This window comes from Homo sapiens, chromosome 20 (genome assembly GCF_000001405.40).
Source record: "Homo sapiens chromosome 20, GRCh38.p14 Primary Assembly".
NCBI lineage: Eukaryota > Metazoa > Chordata > Mammalia > Primates > Hominidae > Homo > Homo sapiens.
Window position 1 is genome coordinate 1,875,896 of NC_000020.11, and position 11,644 is coordinate 1,887,539.

Here is an 11,644-nt window from a genome sequence, read left to right on the forward strand (position 1 = left end):
GCCAGCCAGGCGCCTGTTTGTTTGTTTTCCCAACACACACTTATTACGCCCCAGGCAGGCTGCTCAGTGCTGGGGACCCAGCCATGAACAAGGCCAGCACACGCAGCCCAGAGAAGCAGACAGATGCTAAACAAGTAATTACAAGTGTGATGGATGCCACAAAGGAAAAGCAGCAAGGGCCCTGGGAAGAGACAGTGGGGGATGCCAACATCTCCCATTTGTACAAGGTTTGCAGAAACCTTACCGCAGTGGTGGTCCTGCAGCACCTCCCATCAGAATCCCGTTTAAAGCCCCCAGGCATGCAGACCCAGCACTTCTGGGGAGGGCTGTTTCTTCCCAGGGAAGGACACTGTGAGGTTTGAGGACCACAGCTTTAGAGGCCTGGGTGAGGGGGTCTGAAGGTGGTAAATGTTTTCTAAGTATCCACCAGATCTCGGGCTGATTCACTCCTGCCAGGCCACTGAGGTAGGCAGCATTAGGCCCATTTTACAGAGAAGCAAACCAAGGCCTAGAAAACCCCAGTGATTAGTGAGTATAGAAGAGGGATTCGAACCCAGGCCTGTCAGACTCCAGATCTCAGGAAGGTCCTTAAAGATGGCCCGGCTCCTGGGTGCCCAGCACACAACCTTGCCAAATGGGCTTACAGTTAAAAGGGAAACCACTAGCACTCAGAGACCCCAGGTCACGGATTACAAGGTGCCACTTGTGCTTTACAACAGAGCATGTTAGTCACATGGTGCTAAGTGGCTCTGACATCACAGTGGGCATCCAGCCAGGTACCTCCACTGACCAGGTGCATGGCCTCGGGCAAGTTGCTTAACCTCTCTGGGCTCAGTTTCCTGTCTGTAAGATGGGACAATGGTGGTGGGGAGGAGTTTCTCTGCTTAGGCCTCCTTGCCTCCCCTCCCCCTCTCCCTCCGTCTGCTCCAGTCACACCCGCCTCCCAGCCTTTCTCAAACATGTCAGGCCCTGTCCCTGCTCAGCAGCTTTGCACATGCTGTTCCTTCTGCCTGAACACTCTTCCTCCACATAGCTACATATCTCCGCTCATATGTCACCTTTTCAGAGAGACCTTCCCCGACCCCTTGGCAGAAATCACCCCCACACCACCCCTGTGTGTCCACCACCCTGTATCCAGCCCCGTGTCCATCCCCCGTGTCCATCCCCGTGTCCATCCCCCCGTGTCCATCCCCCTGTGTCCATCCCCTGTATCCATCCCCTGTGTCCATCCCCTGTATCCACCCCCCTGTATCCACCCCCCTGTATCCATCCCCCCTGTGTCCATCCCCCTGTGTCCATCCCCGTGTCCATCCCCCCTGTATCCATCCCCCTGTATCCATCCCCACTTTATTTTTCTCCCCCGCACTGTCACAGCTTTGACCCCCACCTCCCCACGTGAGAAAGTAAGTTGCAGGAGGGTAGAGGCTTTGTTTTGTCAGTTGTTTCCCCAGCCAAGGCTCTTGACTAGGGCCAACCAGAGTTAACAAGCATGCAAGGGCTCAATCTAGCCAGGGCTTCTGCATTACCATGGCCTGTGAGGCCCCTGGCAGCCCATTGGAGAGGTCTCTAAGGCATCTGGGAGGCTGGTTCTAAGTATCCCGCCCCTAGCCTGGTACACAGCGGGCATCATCAGAACATGTCTGAGGCTGTGCTGACCTGCTGTCTGAGAGCAGACACTGCCCGGGCTTCCTGGACCACAGCAAAGACGCTGAAGAGAGGGGCAATGAATTCCCCTGGGCCCCCTCCCCAAATGGCCCTGAAACTAGCAGGCAGTGGGAAACCAGCCCCAGGCTTGGCAGGGGCCTGGCAGAGGCTCAGTGCCGAGGGCCAAGGGCCTGCCAACCTCACTCCCCCAAACAGCGACCAATTGTCCCAGCGGCGCCCAAGTTCCCTGAAGACCTCCCAGCAGTCACTCTCTCACAGAGACACCCGCTCTCAAAGGGGCCAGCAGTCTGGCTGCTTCCGGCCACGACCACAACCAAGGAGGCTGGACCAGCATGGTGGTCCCAGCTTCACAGGAGGCCCCGGGACTTCCGAGCCCTGCTGGGAACTTGCAGCCGGGTGCTTGGTGAGGAGCGGGTGAGGACAGATCCCGGGGGTGGGCCAGTCCTCTTGGCATTTGTATGCAGGTGCAGACCCATGAACATGAGCTGGAATCTATCAACAGAAAATAAAACACTCAGGGACAGAAGCCTCAGAAGACAAACTGCTGCGGGGCGAAGGTGGCAGCCACTCCTGCTTGCTGGGTGTGCAACATGTCTCAGGCCCACTCTGGATAGGCATTCATCCAACCCTCAGACAGGGAGATGGGAACTGTGGAACCTCTGTGTCTCAGAAAAGGAAATGAGGGAAGCCATTTGCCCAGAAGAGGGAAGCCGGGATTTGAACCCAGGTCTCCTGGCAAGGCCTTGACCACTATGCTACATCCTAAACCTCCCTTGATGGCGATGAGGAGGGGCTGGTCACCAGGAGTCACGTTCCCATGACAAAGTCTCATTGGTGCCCCCCAGAGCAATGGGTCTGAGCCCTGCTGCAAACCACCTGTGTCAGAATGGGATGCAGGCAGCTTCCTAGAAAGCCCATTCAGACCTGCTGTGGCTACATTTTTCACATGATGCTACTGGATTCTGAAGCGCACACTGGAGTTTAAGAACCACTGGCTTAGAGGCAATTCTGACCTAGACAGAACTAGCGCTTTATTTGTCAGGACGATAGACCTCGAGAAGAGCTGCCTATGTGGGATCTGGAGGTGACAATAAAAACGGCTGTTGATTGGTCACTGAGTATGTGCTCGGTCCTCTTTTAAGTGCTTCATTCTCATTTCATCCTTAGCACAACTCTACAGAAGAAGTAACAGTATTATCTTCCCCATTTTAGAGATGAGAAAACTGAGGCACAGGGAGCTTAAGTCTGTCCTGCCATCCTGTGAGATTCATGTAGTTGTTTGGAGGAGGTCCACCTTCCATCTGGGTGATCCCAGCACCTGCTAGGTGCCCTGTACATGCCTGCGTACATGCCCTGTACATGCCTGCAGCACTGAATATGAACTAGGCCAGGTGTGTTTTGGTGGTGCGGGGGTCCCAGGACAGAGCTTCCCAAGGGGCAAGCTTTGGGAACTCTCCTGACCCAACTGCACCCCCCTACACACATCCACCTTCCTGGGCATACAGTCCTACTTACCCTGGTGTGGCTGAGCAAGGTGCTACCCCCTTCGTCTTCTTTGTCTATAAGTAGAACTCCTACTATGGAGCTATTAGAGAAATCGGGTCTAAATGGAGCCACTCAGACAAAGCCCTTAGGAAGTGGATAGGAGAGGGGTCAAGTTTTAGGATGTGGGTGTGAAACCCACCTGGATCCACCACTTGAGCGCTACACAGACTTGCCTGAGCCTTTCATCCTCACATCTGCCTAGTGAGGATCAGAATTGTATGTAATCACGTGAAGGTGAAATATGCAAACTACCTGTGCACAGTGGGCCTCACTGTACGGTCGCCGGTGAAAAGTACTAAGATTGGTGCCACAACCCCATCAGCACAACACCCCTGACCCCTCCTTCCAGGGCTCGAGCTAGGGGGTTGTCAGTGCCTGGCTGGTGCTCAGGCCTCTTCAGCTGGAGCCTGGAGCTGAAGGCCTGTTTGCTGGGTTACAGGAAGATCTGAGCTGTACAGCTGGTGCTGGCGAGGAAAGGTATTTGCATCAGATAATAGGTAAAGTGTCTTGTTATTCCATTAACTTGTGTAGCAACGACTGCGGCAGAGGGAGGGAGCGTTGGAAAGCCGTAGGGTGGGCAGGGGATGAGCTCACTGACCCACAGCTAAGCCAGGGACTTCCAGGGGGCCCAGCAGCCTCAACAGGAGCTACAGGGGTAGCCTTTGGGCAGAGGGGTATGGGTGAGGCTGCCCCTCGTTCCAGAACCCTAACCTTAAGGTAGGGCCCCAGCTGGGGGCAAAATCGAAAAGTACATCCCAGGCACCACCAGCACCAGTGCCTCCCCCTCCCCCACCCCTAATTGACCTCTGAGTCCCTGGGGCTCAGGGGCTCTGACCATGACCACAGCATGCAGCCTCCTGAACAAAAGCATAGATGCTGGAGCCCCCTGGATGGGGGTTTGAATCCCGACTCCACCCTTCACAAGTTTGGTAAGTTGCACAGGCACCTAGCATTGCTGGGCTTCCTATTAAATGGGATACTACTATTACACTCATCCCTCGAGGCCATGTCATCCCTCCTCTGACAAATCCCATGGAGTCCCTGCCACGTGCTGGTGCCTTCTAGGCACTGGGAACCAGCAGGGAACAACAGGGACTAAGTCTTGTTCTGACGAAATTTGCATTCCAGGTGGGGGAGGGTGCACATAAATAAATAAGAGAAATATGAGAAAGTGATAAGTGCTATAAAACTTGGAAATGGGATAACAAGGGGCCAGATGTAAGGAGGAGCGGTCTTTTAGAGAATGAAGGAAGGATACTCTGGGGGGAGGCATTTGAACTAAGGCGCAGGTGACATCAACAGCCTTGAAGGGCCCCAGGTTGGCCTCAAGGGACACGTTTGAGGAGAGGAAGGAGGCCAGTGTGGCTGAAGCAGAGTGGGCAGCAAAGATGGACAACCTCAGGATGGAGAAGAGTGGGGACTGGCCACGTAGAGCAGCATGGCTGCAGGATTCATTTTGACTGGAAGCACCATGGCAGTCCCTGGAGGTTCAGAGCAGGGGAGGGATGTGATCTGATTTTGATGGTTCAAAGGCCTCCTGGCTGCTGGTAGGGGATGGATTGCAGAGGCCAGGGTGGTGCAGGGGAGCTGAAAAGAGGCTGGTACAGCCATGGGCATGACAGCAGCTGTGGTCTAAGAAGGTAGTGCAGGGGAATGTGGGACGAGACAGTGGACCAGGGCTGGGCTGGGTTTTAAAGATACTGTCACAGGATCTGAGGATGATGAGCAGGAGAGGGAAAGGGAAGGGACAAGGATGGCACAGGTGATTGAGACCATGTATGTTAGCAGAGGGTTTATTGAGCGTGGCCCCTTGCATACAGTAAGTGCTGGTAAACACTGCCCATTGGGAAAGCATAGTGTTCTACACTAAGCACCACCTTCTACAGGAACCAGCCCTGTTGATCAACAGAGCGGCATTTCTGGTCTCAGATTCCTGGATTGCACCAAATGACCTCTGAGGGGATAACAGAGGACTCCACGCAGGAAGGGTTCAGGCAGTCATGTTGCCCAACATGTGCGGTGACAGCATAAACACCAGGGTGACTTGTCCCAGGTCACTGGGCTTGTTAGGGGCAGAGTGGGATCTCTTGACCCTGTAAAATGTCCTCTGGGATCTAAAGTCTGAGATTCCCAGGTGTGAGTCCTTCTCTGGACCTCGGGCTTCGGTAGCAGAGTCCAGCCTCAGAGCCTTTGTGCTTGCTGTTCCCCTTCCTGGAGCCTCCCATGACCTTTGGATGTCACTTGGCCTCTCTGCGCCCTCTCACCCCAGCAGTTCTGCAGAGGTCAGCCTTTAGAACTGACCCACGCCTCCCTGGGCCTGCAGGGTTTCACAGAGCTCGGCAGCAGCTTGGGTTACCCCTAGGGTCAGGTCATCACCATTTGCCTCATCTCCTTCCACAGCCAACTTGGAAGGATTCCCCAGCCTTGTGCCAGGAGAGGCTGGCACGGCTGCCAGAGCCCCACTCCGTGGCGCCATAGGCCCTCACAGGGACTGCCCTGGCTCCTGGTGGCCAAACCACACAGGATAGAACCACCTTTCCTGCTGGGACACAGCCCAGGCGGAATCCCCCTTTCTTTCTCCTGGACCAATCAGATGTGAGTCAGGGACCCTCTCATTAACAAATTTCCTCCCTTCCTCCTCCCCTGTTATGAGGCCAGGAGCGGGCGTCGACCTACATGGAAGGGGAGGAGAGGTGGAACCAGTTGGAGCAAATACCCAACCTGCCTCTTGCCTGGTAAGGTCACCCAGAAGCCTTGAGCCAGCAGCCGTTCCTTCCTCCATCTCCAACGGTCTGGCCTTATGCTAGCCCCCAACTCAGGACACAGACTTTACACTTAACCCCAAAGCAGTCCCTGCCTCACTTGGGGCCAAGTTCAGACAAGAGGCAATCAGGGACTTAACTGGCTGCCAGAGAAGGCCACCCGCCTGGTTATTAAATATTAAGTGGCAAGAGCCTGAGAATGTATAATTGCAAATGAGACTCTGAGGCAGATGTTGCCAACAGCTTGGACCGGTGCATGCAGTTGGGACCAACAGGGGATTTCAAGTCACCAAGCCAGGCTGCTGGCAAGGGCCCCACATTTGCTGGGCACCTGCTGGGTACCAGGCCCTGAACTGGATGCTACGTGTAAAAAGATTAACCAGACACGACTCCAGCTTCAAGAGGTTCCCTGTCCGCTGAAGAAGTAAGCAAGGGCTCACAACCACAGGTAATCTCGGGCGTGGTGCGGGCCCCAGGGAAATATCTAGAAGGGGTTGGAGAATTGAGGCTTCAGAGTGGAAATGAGCTGACTTTGAACTGTACATTCAGTCAGTCATTTAACAAACATTGGTTCAATACCTAATGTGTGCCAAATGTTGTAGATTCAGGGAAATAAAGTATTAAATAAACCAAACTCTCTCATGGTGCTTACAATTGAGTGAGAGCTTGTATTCCAAGGATGAACAAGGTTTGCACCAAGAAGAAGAGATAAAGAAGAGAGCGAGCCTGTGCAAACATTCAGAGGCATGAAGTCAAGTAGCTTCAAGGTGAATAGGGAGTTCACTGCGGCTGGACATGTGTGAAAGGGAGGGAGTGAGGCAGGGAGCAAGGGAGGGAGGGAGGGAGGGATGGGATGGCTAGTAGCCAGAGCCTGAAAAGCTGCCACATTAAAGAGTATAGGTGAGTCCTGGAGGGTTTCAAAGTACAGTGCAATGCCCTCCCTCAGGGATAGTCCATGGCTCCCAGGATTCCTGAGATAGGACACAGTCTACTCTCTTTTTTTTTTTTTTTTTTTTTTGAGATGAAGTCTCGCTCTTGTCCCCCAGGCTGGAGTGCAATAGCGTGATCTTGGCTCACTGCAACCTCTGCCTCCCGGGTTCAAGCGATTCTCCTGCCTCAGCCTCCTGATTAGCTGGGATTATAGGATTACAGGTATGCGCCACCAAGCCCAGCTAATTTTTGTATTTTTAGTAGAGACAGGGTTTCACCATGTTGGCCAGGCTGGTCTTGAACTCCTGACCTCAGGTGATCCACCCACTTGGGCCTCCCAAAGTGCTGGGATTACAGGCGTGAGCCACCGTGCCCGACCGGATATAGTCTACTCTTTTAAGCAGTAAGAGGAAGCAATAAGAGGAAGAAGACACCCCACTGAATATCCTGGGGCATGAGTGTGGTTGCCTGGTTAGCTACCCACCCCCACCCCAGGCTAGGTTACTGAGACTCCACCGAGGGAGGATCTCAGAGAAACAGAGCCCTGCCCCTTTACTCTCCCCACACCTGCAGCCTGTGTCAGCTCCTGAACTGCTAAGAACATATCCTAGGAACATAGGTGCCTTTGTCTTCGCCAGGAACTCAGTCCCTGTGGCAGGTGGCGGTGGGGAGAGTAATATGAGACCCCAGACCCTTCAGGCAACAAGTCCTTGTCCAGCAAGAGAGCCAGGGAAGATTCCAGTGCAACACTTCCAAGAATGTCCTCACTGGCTGGACCTCTGTCTCCACTGCCCTGCCCGGAGCCAGGGTGGGGTGGACTGGATGAACTTTCAAGGTCATTTTCTGGCCATGATTCTATACAAAGAGAAGGGGGACAAGAAGAACTGCATGTGCATGTGAAGATGCTAAAATCCCAGGAGGATTAGGGTCCTTGAAGAGGTTCTACGCGTCTAGAGTTGCATTCGGCTGAGATTCTAGAATTCTATAGTTCGACAATTCCAAGATTTTAGAATCCTGTGATTCTAAGACTCTTACTTGATTAGGGGAAGGAAGACATCGTAGTCATCACATCCCCTTAATAAAATTCACGCCTCTGGGAAGAACCCCACACCCGTAACTCCAAAGCCAAGCAGGCTTGTTTTCCCCCTTTCTGCCTTTAAATTGTCTTTTCACTCTTTGGTGTCTGCTCATCTGCACACCCCCCTCCACAGTCCCTCCTCCAAGCCTGGCAGCCACACATTTGCCATCTACATATAACCCAGTGATTAGCACAGCAGAACAGAGAGGAGGGTGTGGAAGCCATGCTGCCTGCCAGTCGGACGGCCTTAAGTCGACCAGGCTGCAGCGAATCACCTCAGCTCCCTGAAAGGGCTGAGCAGGGAAGGGAAACGCACTCCTGCAGATTCAGACACACACACAGAGACACACAAAGGAGGGCCCCAGGCACACAGACACACAAAGAAACAGAGATGTGCACGCACACACAGACAGTGCAAACAGCACACGCCCACATGCGTACAGCACTCACACACATGCAAACAAACCAGAGACAGACACACAACCCCACAGTGACATACACCTGGACACGCAGGCATGCAGAAAAACAGAGAAAGACATGCACAGCACACGTGGATATTTGCGGTGCAACATAGACATACACACACACTCATATATAGCCACACAGCAAAACACACAATGCATGCATACACACTCAAATGTACAAACCCATGCAAATAAATCCAAACGAATAGATACGGATCCAGAGTTACACAGATCAACACACTCCCAGGGGGACAACAGCACTCAGCTGTTAACATACCTCCAAATGAGAGTTGTCAGAATCCCCCTTCTCATCCCCATCTCCCACTCCCTCTCATTCATGGGACATTATTTAGGCCCACTCTGCACACAACCTGGCACTGGGCCCCTGGGAGATCCCAGGGCTCTGACACAGTGGAGTAAGGGGAGGAGCAGTTCAGTCAGCCCCCGGGAACTCAGAGGCAGCTAGAATACAGATAGGCACTGGGTTCAGGAAACCATTCCCAGAGCTGTACAAAATGGATTGCCTGGAAAGGTAGTGAGCTCCCCACCCCTGGAGGCAATCTAGTGCAACCAAGGGTTTTGGGCATCAGATGGGAGAGTGGGTGCCAGGGGAATTGAAGGCCTTTAAAATCTATTCCAGCCCTGAGAGTCTATTTCTATCAATTCCACTGGGCTTCAAAACAGTGGTCTTCAAAATTTTTTGTATCATATTCCCTATCAGTAAAAACATTTAAAACATGTATTCCTCAATGTATGTACATTTGATACTTTTTACAAATTTTTGTATATTTCTTTGTTATGTACTTCATAGAACACATACACAAAATAGAAAAATTTGAAAAATGAGATAAAGGTACATAGATCACTACTTTAAAGGACAGGTGAAACTGAAGGGAAAGTGATATAACATTTATGAAGTCCCTCCTGTGTGCCAGACTTTTGATATATATTATGCCTTTGAATCTTCAAATAGCTCTGTAAAGAAGCTGTCATGAGTTTTCCATTTTGCAGATGAGAAACTAAATGGCAAGACAAATAAAATCATTTCCCCACAGTCTTGCCACCTGTAGCTGCCACGGCTGGAATCTGGACCCAAGTAAGCTGGCTCCGGAGCCCACTGCCCACCCTGACCACTCCTATGTCATACAGGAAGCATGGAGCTGGGGAAAGACCCATTTGGTTTTTGGGGGCAACAGGCTGAGTGGAGGGGCTGCACGATTTGTCAAGAGCCCTGAATGACGGCCTTGAAGCCAAGCAGCAGGTATGATTCTCAAACCACAGGCACAGTTGGGCCAGATGTGGCCATTTCTTTCCTTTAAATCTTCACTGCTCAGAGTGCAGTCCAGGGACCAGCAGCTTCAACCTCACCTGGAAGTTTATCAGAAATGCAGAATCTTGGCCCCGCTACAAACCTACTAAGTCAGAATCTGCATTTAGCAAGAATAAAGTTTGAGAAGCCTCAAATTACTTAAACTCATCTGGTCTGTGAATGTATCCCATGGGGGTGACGTGAAGCAAGCCCAACCTTGGTCATTCTTGGGGCTCTCTCCTCTCCAGAGCCTGCTCAGATGCAGGGTCTTAGAGAGTCTCTGGACATTTGAGGTGGCTTCCAGGAATCTGTCCACACTGCTTGCCTGCAGCTCCTCGGCTCCTAATCCCGCAGTGGCTCCCATCTGGTTCTGAGTAAAAGCTGAAGGCCTCACCTTGGCCTGCACGGCCCAACAGACTGGACCCTGCTTCCTCTCTAACCTCATCTCCCGCCTCACTCCTGGCTAGTTTCCCGTTGCCTGGCTGCCCAGCTGCCCTTGAACTTGTCATCCCAGGGTCTTCCCGGGGTCTTTGCACTGGCCATTCCTTTCACCTGGTGTTCCTATGGCTCTCCTTCATACTTTCCTTAGGAAACTCCACTCCCTGAGTGAGACCTCCACTGCATAGAATAGCATCCCCTCCCCCCTAATTCATACATTTATCTTTCCATCTCCTCCACTAGAATGTGAATGCCTTGAGTGCAGGAACTGTGACTATCTCATTTCCAGCATCCAGCTGAGCCCCTGGCCATAGTAGATGCTCAATAAATATCTGTTGGCTGATGGAGGCCGTGCCCATTGTCCCACCCTAAGGGACACCCATCTCAGTCACCCTGTGGGGCTGTGGGGTCTTCCATGAGGGCAGAGGTCTTGAGACACAGTTATGGCTACCTGGAGCCACCGTGAGGCCTGCCCTGGAGGCCTTGTCCCCTCCCCAATCCTGCTGGCGTGGGGGCAGCACCCCCTGTCAGCCTGACCCCCTCCAGCTTCTCCAGTGTGCTTGCCCCCAATCTCTCCCAGTCTTTCCTGGGAATCTCTTTGGTTTTAGACTTTACTAAAGACTAAGGGGAGTTCATTTTTCTGCCTAAATCCCTGCAGTGCCTGTTTACTAAGCCCAACTATTTGCTTGAAGCTGAAGAGAAGAAACATAAAGAGGAAAAACAGACTAACATTTTCTAACTTGGCCTGTCATGCCTACAGGCCGTGAGAGCTCAGGCCACCCATTTCCCTTTCTGCGCCTCAGTCTCCTCATCTATTCCCAGAGATTCATGGGGATAGTTACCACCTTTTTTGCTGAAGAGGGAATGAGACACAGTGAGAAAGAAAACTATAATGGTGGAATTTCAAGTATGAACCAGCCAGGGTTGTAGGCGTTGGGGCAGCAGGGTGTGAGTTGGGAGTAAGGAGGGGGACTAAGGGATTTGCTATCAAAAGATCTGGGTTTATGGCCTTTCTGTGCCACTAAGTCAATATGTTGGTCAGGTAGAGCCTCTGTTTACTCATCTGTACAATAGGTATGGCACGGCTATGAGGCTCCCATCAGATACAGTCCAAAGGGCTCTGGGAGACTTCCCAATCCACTTCCCTCCTTGCTCCAGCAGCAGTGGCAGCATGAAGGCTGGTGTGGCCAACTGCTACCCAGAGGGCATGGTCCCAATCGGAAGCTGCAGCAGCAAAGACAGTGGTATGTGTTGTTTAGGCTTTCCCTGAGAGCCAAACCAGTTCCTGCCCAGGGATGGACACTTCCTTTCTCGGGTACAGGAATGAGGCCAACTAGAGTCTTGGCTTCCCTGCCCAGGAAAGCAGCCGGGGGAGTCCAACGAGGACACCTGTTCCTTCAGGAAACCCAAGCCAAGCCAGGCCCTCGGGTGGCGGAGCCTGAGCCCCTGGATC

General features: G+C 52.6%; 2 annotated features.

Moving 5' to 3' along the window:
- Positions 46–545: an enhancer, noted in NCBI's record as "H3K4me1 hESC enhancer chr20:1856587-1857086 (GRCh37/hg19 assembly coordinates)". NCBI's record gives its function as "activates a minimal SCP1, AML or CMV promoter by ChIP-STARR-seq in naive H9 embryonic stem cells {active_cell/tissue: H9 hESC(naive)}" and the evidence as "EXISTENCE:reporter gene assay evidence [ECO:0000049][PMID:30033119]".
- Positions 3,280–3,781: an enhancer, noted in NCBI's record as "H3K4me1 hESC enhancer chr20:1859821-1860322 (GRCh37/hg19 assembly coordinates)". NCBI's record gives its function as "activates a minimal SCP1, AML or CMV promoter by ChIP-STARR-seq in naive H9 embryonic stem cells {active_cell/tissue: H9 hESC(naive)}" and the evidence as "EXISTENCE:reporter gene assay evidence [ECO:0000049][PMID:30033119]".